General features: G+C 45.2%; 1 pseudogene; it reads right to left on the bottom strand.

The window, feature by feature from the left end:
• Positions 1 to 216: 216 nt before the first annotated feature.
• PRAMEF28P (PRAME family member 28, pseudogene) lies at positions 217 to 2,983 on the bottom strand (annotated as a pseudogene).
• Positions 2,984 to 16,116: the final 13,133 nt, after the last annotated feature.

Raw genomic sequence — 16,116 nt, 5'->3', positions numbered from 1 at the left:
GGCAGGAGGATCCCATAAGCCCAGCTGAGGCAGGAGGATCCCAGAGCAACACAGAGAAACCCTGTCTCAAATTGTCTTTAATAAAAATTTTGGAATTATTAAAAAATGAAATAAATAAGAAAAGAGAAAAATAGCTTGCACCTACATAGTAGATTTTAGTGTCCAAGTGCCTGGAAGAGAACTTTGGATTTCTCTACCCCACTGGGCATGCCTTCCCTAGCAGCAAAGATGGAGCTCCAGTTCCTCAGACAGTGATGAGCCACAGGAAGGGCAGGGGGTGGGGCCAATGAAGATCCTCTTGGGCTGCCTGACTTCCCTCAGTGTACACATCAGCTCAGCCCGAAGTGGGGTCAAGATCTCCCAATTGACACGAACCAAGGAATTCAAACTCTCCTCAGGGGCAGGATACGTCTCCAGGCTTAACTTGCTCAGCCCACTGGTGTGGCGCAGCAGGTCCTTCAGGGCACCCATAGACATACAATTTCTGCCAAAGTAGAAGGTGGTGAGCTGGGAGCAGCGGCTCAGGCCAGGCAGGATGGCACTGAGTTGGGAGTAGTGGATCTGACAGCCCTCCAAGATGAGGGTTTCGAGAGAGGCAGCAATTTTCTCTAGCAGAGCTCCGAGGGGTTCAAGACTGATGCGGAACAGCAGCACGTAGCTGAGATTCAGATGCTTTAGGTAACCGAGGCTTGGGTACTGGGAGAGACACTTCACATCCTCTTCCAATAGGTAGCCATAAGTTAATTCCAAGTTCTCCAAGGGGTTCTGGAGGCACCTGTGGAGATCAAGAAGTTAGTTCTGGGCAATGGTACCAGTTAGATGAAGGTAGTGCCTTCATCTAGGAAAATGCCTGCGTCAAACAAACACAAGTTTGTTCCCACCATCTGATGATGGTCCTCATGGAAGTTGCTGCATGATGAGGACCCTGATCGCTCAGGGGCTGTCCCATTTTAGAATCAGCCCTTTCACCATTGCTTGTGTGATTGGGTCAAGGCCATAAAATCTCTAAAGCCTTTTTTTTTTTTCATCTTTTAGCAGAAAACTTTATCTCTGGGCCACAGGTACCCGGTGGGAGATGTGAACAAAGAACTCAACTCAGCAAGGTCTAGGGACATCAGCTAGGGCTACATGTCGGCAGGGGCTACCTGACATGCCTGCATCTGCAAACCAACTGTCACTTTTTACCACTCTCACGCCTACTCCCTCACCTCCATCCCAGAAGCACGCATTTCCCATGTCAGTTACCTTTCCTGGAGTTCAAAACAACCTTTTACAAACAGGGAATCAGAGACAGGATCATTCGTGATCACTAAGCCGGTGAGGACAGACGTTCTATTGTGAAATGGACAGGTTTGATGCACTTTCCCTCCTTTCATACCCTCCTCTATTATCTCTTTGACATCATATCAACTTGAAACACACTTTGTAACAGGAAATTCACACGTGCACCCCCAATAGAGCTGAAACCCCCACTAACTAGCTTGTACATGATGTCCCTCTCTAGCTTCTACCCCAGGTGACCCCTCTGCCCTTATTGGAGCGATCCTGTGATAGCCACTCCAGGACATGGAACACTGAATGGGACAATGTGTTGACATTCTGGTGTCCCCTTCACTGTGACGTTGCCACTGGCTGGCACACAGTACACGCCTTCTAATGTTTGCTGTAAGAGAACAAGGCTATGCTGTGGTCTGCATAAAAAATGCATGATCCTTCCTCACCTGATCAGCTGTTCCAGGTGCCCACTGAAGAAGGTGATCAATTTTATTTTAAGCAACTGGAGGTGTTCCAGCCCGAGGAACACAGAGCTGAATTTGGTGACTAACCGTCCTTCGAGTTCATTATCTGACGTGGAATGATGGCACCTGGAGAAAACGAGTTTGCCAAGAGTCTTCATCTCCTTCAGGTAACAACGAAGCTTTCTTATCAGACGTGGCCAGGACATGTTGTGAATTTCCAGCTATTGAATACTATTCAGGTATATTATTTTCAACGACTTTCTGAGATGTTTAATCGGCGTTAGATAATTGACCAGCTTACTACAGCACAGGTGTACTAAACCTCTCCTTTGGTAAACCCACTGGAAGAGGTATCTCAGGCATTCATCCTGGGGTATTTCCTTGAGGCAGATGTCTATGAACACCTTTAAGGGCTGGTGCTCTCCCATCCTTGGACGGTCCTCTGCTGTCTGCCTCTTACTCATGGTCTCTGGGAAGCAGGACAGGGCCCAGGCTCCAGGCCATCTGGCCCAGAAATTCCCGTCAACGTCCCGCTAATCCAGCACTTGAAGTTTCCACCTCCTGTGGGTAAAATAAGGGAGAGGCTCAGAATTTAGAAGGACAAATCCCTGACCTTTGCTTTCATTGTCATCCCATAAATCAGCTGCTCATGTCCTCAGTGCTCCCTGTTCTCTTTGTCTTTTCTTGATCCCTTTTCCCTTTGGATTCTGAGTGGTCCCCACTTCTATTCCCTTTACCTTCCACTGAGAAAAGGCAGGTTTCTGTTCCCACAGTGGACCCTGTATGGTGAGCAGTCCTTTCTCTGAGGATCTGGACAATGGCCAAAGCCTCCCTGATCTTCCTCGCCAACACCATCAGAAGACTCTGGGCTACACTTGGGCTACTTCTCTGCCTGACCCTGCTGTTCTTTCCCTGGACACCTGAGCCCTATCTACCAGCCCTCCTGGGTCACCTCACCTGGGGCGATCCTTCTGTGTAAGCAGCATATGAAGCCCTTCCAGCAATGCTTTTAAGGTCTCCAAATGAAGCGTCTTCATCAGTGATCCCAGAGGGAGGCAGGTGAAGGGCCAGGCCTGCACCATCACCGTCACAGTCTGGAAGTGTCTCCTGCGGAAGGCCTCCATGAAGAGTGGGAGATAGAGCACCCTGGGCAGCTCCTCCATGGCAGAGATGGACAAGGCCTGGTCTCTCAGCAGGCTCTGCCCCGCCAGCTCCAGGAGTCTGGGTGGGGCCTGGATGCTCATCCTGATAGATCTGCAAGGAAAATCTCTAGAAGACAAATCCAGGGAAAATGTATCACTCTCATGGCAAACACAATCATCTGCTTCTACTGGTACCAGGAAGAATGTCTTCCAAACACCAAGGAGGGAGGGGTCAAGGAGACCACTGGTTTATTAATTTTCATCCATTGCTCCACTGAATCCCAGAACCACCGGACAGTGCCACTGAGGATCCTGAAAGCCAAGCTCTACCTCTTTGAGGAAAAATTTCTTGTCACTTACCACCCTAAAGCAATGAGAATGAGAGTGTCCTGTGGCCCCAGACAGCCTCCATTCTCAGTTTACACCATAAACATGCTGGGGGAACACTAAAGGGACTCCCTAAAATCGATGCCATTATTTTTTATTTTGAAAATTTTCTACCAGAAATGGACCAGGTGCTGTGGCTCATGTCTGTAATCCCAACACTGCTGGACACCAAGGCAGGCAGTTCACTTGAGGTCAGGAGTTCGAGAACAGCCTGGCCTACATAATGAAACGATGTCTCTACTAAATACAAAAAAATTAAGAATCATTTGACTCCAGAAGGCAGAGGTTGCAGAGAGCCAAGATCTCACCACTGCTCTCCAGCCTGGGTGACAGAGTTGGACTCCGACTCAAACAAAAACAAATTGATAAATTAATTAATTAAAATGTTAGCCAGGTGTGGTCATGCATGACTGTAATCCTAGCTACTCTGGAGGCAGAGGAAGGAGAATCACTTGAAGCCCAGAGGCAGAGTTTCCAGGGAGCCCAGCTCAGGGCCCTGCACTCCAGTCTGGGTGACACACTCAGAGTACATCGCAGAAAAAAAACAAAATAATTCACTGGAACTGTAAAAGTGGTGTGATGGTATTCCACAGCATTTGGAAGGTATGTATAGAAATGCTAACTGTACCTGGGCGCGGTGGCTCACTCCTGTAATCCCAGCACTTTGGGAGTCTGAGGGGGGCAGATCTCCTGAGGTCAGGAGTTTGAGGCCAGCATGGCCAACATGGCAAAACCCTGTGTCTACTAAAAATACAAAAATTAGCTGGGCATGGTGGTGAGTGCCTGTAATCCAAGCTACTCAGGAGGCTGAAGCAGGAGAATCGCATGTAACTAGGAGGCAGAAATTTCAGTGAACCAAACCACACCATGGCACTCCAGCCTGGGCAACAATAGGGAAACTCCATCTCAAAAACTGTAAAAGTGCTACCATGCTATTCTAGAGCACTGTAACTCTGAGATGAAGGTTCCTATAGACATCACTTCCACATACTCACAATTACCCACTTTTTGATGGATCCTAGGGGCAAAGATAAATCCCATGATCTGAGCAAAACTGCACTCTTGAGATTGGTGTGTGGGATACCTTTAAGGATTTTATGAAAATGAAAGCATACTTGGAGAATCACAATAACACCAAGTCTATGAACTGTAATTGAAGGGCACAAAAACAGATAACTTCAAATGTCAAGAAATAAAAATTCATGTCACTGTAAATTTTTAATATATTTTTTAAAAACCTGCTTCGATAAGAATTTTAAAATGACAAAAACCAAGCACAAATCACAATTTGATGGATGAAGACAAAACTACATTTAGAGGAAAAATGAAAGCCTAAATCTGTTCATCTCACGAAACAGACAGAAAAATATTGTGTGCCACTTTGGGATGTGTGTCACCGTCCCTGACTGGCTGGCTGCTGATCAGATGGGCATGACCCTAAGCAGGTGGTGACTTACCAGCGCTGGACTCACTTTGCAGAGTTCTGGGACCTCTCAGGGAACCAAGCAGTAGCTCCAGGAATGAGTGCTGTGGGTCTCTTCTGGGTACCCTCAGGAGCTTTTATAGACCTTTCTAACCCCACCCTTCCCTTCTCAATCACCAGCTTCCAATCAGAAAGTGATACCTGATTAGATCTTGCAGTCACACCCAGTTAATCCTGATTGAGTTTTCAGCTTTCTTCTGACTAATCGATTGAATTAGATACACATTTATGGAAGTAAAAGAATAAATAATAGGGTGAAAGTCTAAAACTCATTCGTTCATTTATTCCCCAAATACTGATGAAGTTTGGCTAATACACGACTTTCGTAGTGATGTAGGGAAGGGATTAATCTGTTCCTGATATTAGACCAAAAAAAAAAAAACCTTAAGGTGTCCTTATTGGAGGATGTTTGGCCACATCAAAATTGTCAAAATGTTTCAGAGCTACAATAGCCTGAAGAAGATAGTGATGTCATTCCCAAGAAAACAGAATAAAAAGCTGTGTATATCGAATGGTCACCTGTGTTTTATGCTATCTAACATAGCAGATCATATGCACATTCAGGTAGAAGAAAGGAACCACTGAGAGTGTGATCTATCTCAAGACTAAGTCAAGGCTTCACTGAAGGAAATCAGGACAAAGTGACCAAGTGAGGTGGGGACTGAGCGGAATGAGACTAGGTGTTCTAATGGGAACCTGCAAAGGAAACAAGACAATGTAAAACATGGCGGTTATCTTGTGGGCATCTAGATGTCAGGACTCAAAGTCTTTTGTCAAGATTGAGTTTATTTATTGATTGTTTGTTTGATTTTCAGACTGGGCCTACATCTGTCACTCAGGCTGGAGTGCAGTGGCACGATTTCAGCTCACTGCAGCCTCAACCTTCTGGTTCAAGTGATTCTCTCATTTCTGCCTCCCAAGTAGCTGGGAATTACGGGTGCACTCCAACAAGCCCTACTAATTTTTGTATTTTAGTCGAGATGGGGTTTCACCATGTTGGCCCGGCTGGTCTCAAACTCCTGACCTCAAGTGATCTCCTCACCTTGGCCTCCCAAAAGGCTGGGATAACATGCATCAGCCATCTCACCCACCCTAGATTGAGTTCAGAAATTAAAAGGAGAATCATCAAAAGAGATAGGGCAGACTTAAACCATAACATTCACTTTGAAAACACAGGGGGCAGGTATAGTCTTGGCCCTACTAGAAGGTAAAGGGTGTTTACTCACAAAACTGATGGGCTCCTCTCAGAAAACCAGCTTGCAAAGATGGAATCTAAGAATGTGAACTGGAGCAGAGGCCAGAGAGAAGATTGGGGCCAGACCTGGGAAGGGAGGCTCTCCCAAGCTGGAAGCCACCCAGGTAGAAACTGTGGGCTCTACAGGATGTGAGAGAGAAATGAACGAGGGTCCATATGTCCATCATTGTTCTATCATCTGGAAACCTTTCCTTTAGACTCTGGGATCTTCCCACAGTGGAACATTTCCCAGCAACCATTGGCCCCAGTCATTTTCCAGGACCCTTCATCCAAATCTTAATCTCACCCACTCCCTTCCTACTCTAATTTGATAATTCATGTTTCCTCCTTCTTAGAGTCCTTTCCTGTCGCTAATATTGAACATAGAGATTCTTATCAGAGCATCAACATTAGGCCTACAAAGAAAGCTCAGACCCAGGCACAGTGGCTCATGCCTGTAACATCAGCACTTTGAGAGGCCAAGGTGGGCTGATCATGAGGTCAGTATATCAAGACCATTCTAGCTAACACGGTGAAACTCCGTCTCTACTAAAAATACAAAAAATTAGCCGAGCATAGTGGCAGATGTCTGCACTCCCAGCTACTCAGAAGGCTGAGGCAGGAGAATCGCTTAAACCCAGGATGTGAAGTTGCAGTGAGCTGAGATGGCGCCACTGCCCTCCATCCTGGGTGATGGCATGACACTGTCAAAAAAGAACAAAAGAAAAAGCAAGCAAGCATGCAAGAAAGAAAGAAAGAAAGAAAGAAAGAAAGAAAGAAAGAAAGAAAGAAAGAAAGAAAGAAGGAAGGAAGGAAGGAAGGAAGGAAGGAAGGAAGGAAGGAAGGAAGGAAGGAAGGAAAGAAAGAAGAAAGAAAGAGAAAGAAAGAAAGAAAGAAAGAAAGAAAGAAAGAAAGAAAGAAAGAAAAAAGAAAGAAAGAAAGAAAGAAAGGAAGGAAGGAAGGAAAAGAAAGAAAGACCTCAGGCCTCTAATCCCAGCCCTTTGGGAAGCCAAGAAAGGCAGAGTGCTAGAGCTCAGGAGTTTGTGAGGAATATGGGCAATGTGATGAAACCCTGTCTCTAATAAAAATACAAGATATTAGCTGGGGGGAGGCAGTGTGCACCTGTAGGCCAAGCTGCCCAAGAAGTTGAGGTGGGAGGATCACCTGAGCCCAGTGAGGCTTCTACTTCCCACGCCCCACTTTGTAAACCTGAGGCTGAGGGTGAGCTCAACACCAATAATGGTTGTGAGAATCTGTGTTCACTGAGCATCCACGAGGCACAACAGACGGCTGGTACTGATCATCCCGGACCTCAGCTCTTCTTCATGGAGAATCTAAGGCACGTTGCTATTTTCCCCATTTCTAACCTGATAAACCTGAGATTTGGCCAGAGAAAAATCTTCCCATGTTCTGGCAGCAAATGATTGGCAAACCCCTCAGGTGAGGGGCTCAGTGGAACCCCCAAGGTGTTCAATAAGCTAAATATTGGAAAGAACTGGCTAACTGACTCCCTCTTCCTGCCCATTTCAAGGGGTGCAGTAGCACCCCCAGGACCCCAGTGAGAATCCTGCACTTGGGGTCTTTTCTACCATGTTCTGTCACCAGTTCTTCTCGAGGTGCTCATCTGCTGCCAAGCTCAGAGCAACCTTCGAAACCCATCTCAGGAAACGACCTGACCTATTCTCCACTCCCAGAATCCACACTGGGATTCCAAAGCTCCTATGAGGCCCTTGCTTAGGCTCTCTAGAATATTCCTGAGCCTCTGTTTTCTCCCTCAGCCTGAGCTGATGGGGCCGGCGTCACTTTATGCATCCCAAGGCCATCAGCCCATCTCTCCTGGACTTCAGAACATGGCCACAATGCAGAGAGACCCAGCAGTAATTAAGAAATTTTCCCCAGTTTATATTGAGTGATGTTGGTGAACATGGCAAGGCACAAAGCAGGAAACTCCACAGCTGCTGCTCTGGACCTAAAGAGGCACCCTGGACTTCTGGGTGGTGACACTGCCTGGCTTGCAGAGGAAGACCTGACCCCTCTGGTCTTCCAAGGCTGCCAGGATGATGACAGAGCCTTGGACAGGTCCCAGCGCAGGGGCCATCCCTTCCCAGGTTCCCCTGGCCCAGCCTTAGAGCTGATAAGGATGCACCTGGAATGCACTAAGTATTTTTTTGTCCAAGCCAGGTCTCTTCTTAGCCTTAGGTGAGGCTTTTTTCAGCTGGGTGCTATGGAAGAACCCGAAGCCCAGTGGGCATCACTGCAATGTCCACATGGTAAGTATGTGTGTGTGTGTGTGGCCACCTAGAAAGGCACAACTCTACCTGACAGAGCTGGTTCCATGGAAGAGAAAAGTATAACATCCCATGTCCCTGGTAGGACAACTTCCTCTGGGAGTCCAGCAAGAAGACGTGGAATCTGCGGACAAGAGGTCCCTGGGTAAAAGCCCTCATTTGAGGATAAGAGTAAAGTTGAACCTTAGACCCTGAGGGATCTATGCCCTTCCCACAGGGCTGCAGCAGAGCCAGCCCTGACTCCCAGGCACAATAGCCCAGAGAGATCTTCGAAGGGAAGTAAACCTGCTGGGGCCTCAGGGCTCAGAAAAAGCTCTGGACCTATCTCCCAGTCATGCCTCTCCCACTCCCAAGTGCCTCTGGCCCTGGAACTGTCAGAGACCCCTGTGTCTTTTCCATGTGCTCTTCTTCTCCTTTCACTCAGCCCTGCCTCTGCCAATGCTCCCTGCATTTGCCTCCATGTAAGGCCCCCAACCCCAAGCTCTGGCAGTGGCTGGGGAGCTAGGGGTTTTTGTGCCCACCTGGAGAAAGCCTCACTCAGCATGGGCCCGTGTGGGTTCTGCAGTCTTTTCCTACACAGGGTCACCTACAGGTGTTATGGTTGCATCTCCCCTAGAAGAGCCAATGGGGATGGGTGAGGAATCTGAAATCACTCAGGCACCCCACATACAAATGAGAGCCAGGGTCCCTGCAAGCACAGGCCCCGGGGTAGGTCCTGGCCCTTGTTGTTGCCTTCTGATCCCAGAGGCCTTGGGTTTGTGGTCACAGGAGCCCTACCTACTTCCCATGCACCCCCAGCCCAAGATAAACAAATTCCTGCAGCCTCCCCGGTCCATGTACTTGAGATCTCCAGATCGTGCCACTTCACTCCAACCTGGACGACAGGGCGAGACTCGGGGCCAAAAAAAAAATTAGCTGAGCATGGTGGCAGGCACTTGTAGTCCGAGCTATTTGGGAGGCTGAGGTAGGAGAATCACTTGAAGCCAGGAGGCAGAGGTTTAAGTGAGCTGAGATAGAGCCACTACACTGCAGCCTGGGAAATAGAGCAAGACTCCGTCTCAGGAAAAAGAGACAAGAAAAAGAGAAAATCAGAAGCACCGAGCTGTGTTTTTAATGAGGTCCTGCCCCAGGAAGTCAGGCATCCAAATGAAATTTCCTCATTTTTATCAATTCCCTCCTGTTCTTTACTTCTCTTTACAAATCTGTTACCTCCTGACTTTGTTCTGTGGCTGATCAGTGGGTGAATACCCACAAGATGCACACACAGGGCCAGGAACATTCTATGTGGGCAAAGAGTGTGAGTCACTCAAGTAAAGCCCCTTCTCAGGTCCCTCCCTGCTAACCAGATGCTGAGACCCTGTTCAGTCCTAATGGGCAGATTGAGAAGAATCCATTTCTGACCATTAGCTGTGCTGGGACAGAGATTCACTGCACAAGGCATGGCCCCTGCTTTGGAAGGGGACATTCACATCATTGATTACCTGGAGCTTCAGGGCATCACCAACCCATACCTGTCGTCATGGTGGGCAGTGCTCCTTCCTTAATTAAACTAGTTGTGTCTTATAAAGATATCAAAATTCCCTTTTAGCAAAATACTGCCTACAATATATAAATATGGCTGGGTTTGTTGGCTCATACCTATAATAGTAGCACTTTGGGAGGCTGAGGCAGGAGAATCACAAGATCAAGAGATCGAGACCATCCTGGCCAACATGGTGAAACCCCATCTCTACTAAAACTACAAAAATTAGCTGGACATGTTGTCACATGCCTGTACTCCCAGCTACTAGAGAGGCTGAGGCAGGAGAATTGCTTGAACCCAGGAGGCGTAGGTTGCTGTGAGCTGAGATTGTGCCACCACACTTCAGCCTCATGACAGAGTGAGACTCCATCTCAAAAACAAAACAAAACAAAAGAAAATAACATATAAATACTAATAATCATATAGACATAAAACATGGTTTAAATATTTCTTTACCACATTCAAAAATCAAGCATGCTTTTTGGGGGCCAGGTCATATTGATGAGAGATCCTTTCTTAACACCCTTCCCATACCTAGCAGACTAAAGAAGAAGACTAGCGTATGCAGGGAAAAGAAAGAGAGATCAGACGGTTACTGTGTCTATGTAGAAAAGGAAGACATAAGAAACTTCATTTTGATCTGTACCCTGACTTTGCCCTGAGATGCTGTTAATCTGTAACTTTAGCCCCAACTTTGAGCTCACAGCAGCATGTGTTGTATAGAATCAAGGTTTAAGGGATCCAGGGCTGTGCAGGATGTGCTTTGCTAGCAAAAGGTTTACAGGCAGTATGCTTGATAAAAGTCATCACCATTCTCCATTCTCAAGTAACCAGGGGTGCAATACACTGTGAAAAACCTCAGGGACCCCTGCCCTGGAAAGCCAGGTATTGTCCAAGGTTTCTCCCCATGTGATAGTCTGAAATATGACCTCATTGGATGGGAAAGACCTGACCTTCCACCCAGCTTGACATCCATTAAGGGTCTGTGCTGAGGAGGATTAGTAAAAGAGGAAGGCCTCTTGCAGTTGAGATAAGAGGAAGGCTTCTGTCTCCTGCCTGCCCCTGGGAACTGAATGCCTCAGTATAAAACCTGATTATACATTTGTTCTATTCTGAGATAGGAGAAAAACTGCCTGTGGTGGGAGGCGAGACATGTTGGCAGCAATGCTGCTTTGTTACTCTTTACTCCATTGAGATGTTTGGGTGGAGAAAAGCATAAATCTGGCCTATGTGCACATCCAGGCATAGTACCATCCCTTGAACTTATTTGTGACACAGATTCCTCTGCTCACATGTTTTCTTGCTGACTTTCTCCCCACTATCACCCTGCTCTCCTGCCACTTTTCCCTTACTGAGTTAGTGAAAATAGTAATCAATAAATACTGAGGGAACTCAGAGACCAGTGCCGGTGTGGGTCCTCCGTATGCTGAGCAGCAGTCCCCTGGGCCCATTTTTCTTTCTCTATACTTTGTCTCTGTGTCTTATTTCTTTTCTCAGTCTCTTGTCCTGCCTGATGAGAAATACCCACAGGTGTGGAGTGGCTGACCCCCTTCACCTGGCGCCCAACGTGGGCCTTTCTCTAGGGTGAAGGTACGCTAAAAACGTGAGCATTGAAGACAGTCAACGAGAGATTCCCAAGTACTTCCACGGTCAGCCATGCGGTAAGCTTGTGTGCTCAGAGGAACCCAGGGTAACAATGGGACAAACTGAAAGTAAATATGCCTCTTATCTCAGCTTCATTAAAATTCTTCTAAGAAGATGGGGAGTTAGAGCTTCTACAGAAAATCTAATTATGCTATTTCAAACAATAGAACAATTCTGCCCATGGTTTCCAAAACAAGGACTTTAGATCTAAAAGATTGGGGGAAAATTGGCAAAGAATTAAAACAAGCAAGTAGGGAAGATAAAATCATCCCACTTACAGTATGGAATGATTGGCCCATTATTAAAACAACTTTAGAACCGTTTCAAATAGAAAAAGATAGCCTTTCAATTTCTGATGCCCCTGAAAGCTGTGTAGTAGATTGTGAAGAAGAGGCAGAGACAAAATCCCGGAAATTAATGGAAAGTTCACATTGTAAAATGTAACAGAGTCTGTAATGGCTCAGTCAACGCAAAATGTTGACTACAATCAGTTACAGGAGGTAATATATCCTGAATCATCAAAACTGGTGGAAGGAGGTCCAGAATTATTGGGGCTACCAGAGCCTAAACCACAATGGCCATCAACTCCTCCTCCAGTGGTTCAGATGCCTGTAACATTACAACCTCAAATGCAGGTTAGACAAGTGCAAACCCCAAGAGAATATCATGTAGAAAAGGATAGAGTCTCTATCCCGGCCATGCCAATTCAGATACAGTATCCACAATATCAGCTGGTAGAAAATAAGACCCAACCACCGGTAGTTTATCAATACTGGCCGCCAGCTAAGCTTCAGTATGGGCCGTCTCCGGAGGTTCAATACAGACCTCAAGCTGTGTGTCCCGTGCCACATAGCACGGCACCTCACCAGCAACCCAGCGGTGTTTAGTCCTACATCACCACCTAGTGGACAAGGTAGTACACTGCATGAAATCATTGATAAAGCCAGAAAACAGGGAGATCTTGAGGCATGGCAGTTCCTTGTAATTTTACAACCAATACCAGCTGGGAAAGGGGGGCAAGCTGGAGCGTCTGTCCAAACTGAGGCTAGATATGAATCTTTCACCATGAAAATGTTAAAAGATATGAAGGAAGGAGTTAAACAATATGGACCCAACTCCCCTTATATGAGAACTTTATTAGATCCCATTGCTCATGGAAATAGACTTATTCCCTATGATTGGGAAATGTTGGCTAAATCTTCCCTTTCACCCTCTCAGTTCCTACAATTTAAAACCTGGTGGATTGATGGAGTACAAGAACAGGCACGAAAAGTCAGGCTATTTATCCCGCTGTTAATATAGATGCAGATCGATTGCTAGGAACAGGTCCAAATTGGAGTACAATTGGCCAACAGTCAGTAATGCAGAATGAGGGTATTGAATATCTAAGGGCTCTTTGCCTCAGGGACTGGGAAAAAATTCAGGACCCAGGCACCTGGGTGCCCCACACACCACTTGCCCAGGCATCACTTGCCCAGGCACCGCTTGCCCTTCTTCTAATTCAATTAGACAAGGCTGCAAAGAGCCATATGCAGACTCCGTGGCAAGGTTGCAAGATGCCTCTGAAAAATCTGTTTCGGATGATAATGCTCAAAAAGTTATTGTAGAAATAATGGCTTATCAAAAGTCAAATCCAGAATTTCAACCAGCCATAAAGCCATTAAAAGGAAAAGGTCCAGCAGGAGTTGATGTAATTACGGAATATGTGAAAGCTTGTGATGGGATTGGAGGAGCTATGCGTAAGGCAATGCTAATGGCTCAAGCAATGACCGGAGTCACTTTAGGAGGATAGTTAGAGCATTTGGGGGGAAATGTTATAATTGTGGTCAAATCGGTCATCTAAAAAAGAACTGCCCAGTCTTAAATAAACAGAGTAAAAATAAAGAGCCACCTGGCCTGTGTCCAAGACATGGAAAAGGAAAACATTGGGCTAATCAATGTCGTTCTAAATATGATAAAAATGGGCAACTATTGTCAGAAAAAGGGGTGAGGGGCCAGCCTCAGTCCCAACAACAAACTGGGGCATTCCCGATTCAGCCGTTTGTTCTTCAGGGTTTTCAGGGACAGCAACCACCACAGCAAATACCACCACTTCAGGGAATCAGCCAATTACAACAATACAACAGCTGTCCCCCGCCACAGCAGGCAGCACAGCAGTAGATTTATGTTCCACTCAAAAGGTTTCTTTACTCCCTGGAGAGACCCCGCAAAAGATTCCTACAGGGGTATATGGCCCACTGCCAGGAGGGACAGTAGGCCTCATTTTAGGGAGATGAAGTCTAAATTTGAAGGGAGTCCAAATTCATACTGGGGTAATTGATTCAGATTATAAAGGGGAAATTCAGTTAGTGATCAGCTCCACTGTTCCCTGGAGTGCCAATCCAGGTAATAGAATTGCTCAATTATTGCTTTTGCCTTATATTAAAATTGGGGAAAATAAAACGGAAAGGACAGGAGGGTTTGGAAGTACCAACTCTGCCGGAAAAGCCACTCATTGGGCTCGTCAGGTCTCAGAGAATAGACCTGTGTGTACAGTCACTATTCAGGGAAAGCAGTTTATAGGATTATTGGATACCGATGCTGATGTTTCCATTATCGCCTTAAATCAATGGCCAAAAAATTGGCCTAAACAAAAGCCTGTTACAGGACTTGTCGGTGTGGGCAGCGCCTCAAAAGTGTATCAAAGCACCATGATTTTACATTGTCTAGGACCTGATAATCAAGAAAGTACAGTTCAACCTATGATTACTGCTATTCCAATTAATTTATGGGGCCGAGACTTGTTACAACAATGGCATGCAGAGATGACTATCCCAGCCTCCTTATACAGCCCCACGAGTCAAAAAATCAGACTAAAATGGGGTATCTCCCTGGCAAAGGACTAGGGAAAAATGGAGATGGCATTAAAATCCCAATTGAGGCTGAGGGAAATCAAGAAAGAAAAGGAATAGGATATCCTTTTTAGGAGTGGCCACTGTAGAGCCCCCAAAACCCATTCCATTAACTTGGAAAACAGAAAAACCTGTATGGGTAAATCAGTGGCTGCTACCAAAACAAAAGCTGGAGGCTTTACACTTACGGGCAAAAGAACAATTAGCAAAGGGACATATTGAGCCTTCATTTTCGCCTTGAATTCTCCTGTGTTTGTAACTCAGAAAAAATCCAGCAGATGGCACATGTTAACCGACTTAAGAGCCGTCAATGCTGTAATTCAACCTATGGGGGCTCTCCAACCTGGGTTGCCCTCTCTGGCCATGATCCCCAAAGATTGGCCTTTAATTATAATTGATCTGAAGGATTGCTTTTTTACCATTCCTCTAGCAAAACAGGATTTTGAAAAATTTGCTTTTACTATACCAGCCATAAATAATAAAGAACCAGCCACCAGGTTTCAGTGGAAAGTGTTGCCTCAGGGAATGCTTAATTGTCCAACTATTTGTCAGATTTTTGTAGCTGAAGCTCTTCAACCAGTTAGAGACAAGTTTTCAGACTACGTCTTTCATTATGTTGATGATCTTTTGTGTGCTGCAGAAACGAGAGACACATTAATTGACTGTCACACATTTCTGCAGACAGAGGTTGCAAACTCAGGACTGACAATAGCATCTGATAAGATTCAAACCTCTACTCCTGTCCATTACTTGGGAATGCAGGTAGAGGAAAGAAAATTTAAACAACAAAAAATAGAAATAAGAAAAGACATTAAAAACATTAAACGACTTTCATAAATTGCTAGGAGATATTAATTGGATTTGGTCAATTCTAGGCATCCTTACTTATGCCATGTCAAATTTGTTCTCTATCTTGAGTGGGGATCCAGAATTGAATAGTAAAAGAACATTAACTCCAGAGGCAACTAAAGAAATTGAATTAATTGAAGAAAAAATTCGGTCAGCACAAGTAAATAGAATAGATCACTTCGCCCCACTCCAACTTTTGATTTTTGCTACTGCATATTCTCAACAGGCATTATTGTTCAAAATACAGATCTTGTGGAGTGATCTTTCCTTCCTGACAGTACGATTAAGACTTTTACATTGTACTTGGATCAAATGGCTACATTAATTGGTCAGGCAAGATTACAAATAATAAAATTGTGTGGAAGTGACCCAGATAAAATCATTGTTCCTTTAAACAAGGAAGAGTTTAGACAAGGCTTTATCAATTCTGCTGCATGGCAGATTGCTCTTGCTGATTTTGTGGGAATTATTGATAACCATTACCCAAAAACAAAAATCTTCCAGTTTTTAAAATTGACTACTTGAATTTTACCTAAAATTACCAGACATAAACCTTTAGAAAATGCTCTGACTGTGTTTACTGATGGTTCCAGCAATGGAAAAGTGGTTTACACCAGGCCGAAAGAATGAGTCATTGAAAATCAGATTCTGCATATGTAGTACAGCTACAAAGGATGTTGAGACAGCCCTAACCAAATATAGTATGGATGATCAGTTAAACCAGTCCTTTTATTTGTTACAACAAATTGTAAGAAAAAGAAATCTCCCATTTTATATTACTCATATATGAGCACATACTAATTTACCAAGGCCTTTAACTAAAGCAAATGAACAAGCTGACTTGCTAGTATCATCTGCATTCATAGAAGCACAAGAACTTCATGCTTTGACTCATGTAAATGCAACAGGACTAAAAAATAAATTTGATATCACATGG

This window comes from Homo sapiens, chromosome 1 (assembly GCF_000001405.40).
Source record: "Homo sapiens chromosome 1, GRCh38.p14 Primary Assembly".
NCBI classification, from domain to species: Eukaryota; Metazoa; Chordata; class Mammalia; order Primates; family Hominidae; genus Homo; species Homo sapiens.
Note: the sequence above shows the minus strand (reverse complement) of the source record. Positions and strands in the feature narration are given on the sequence as shown.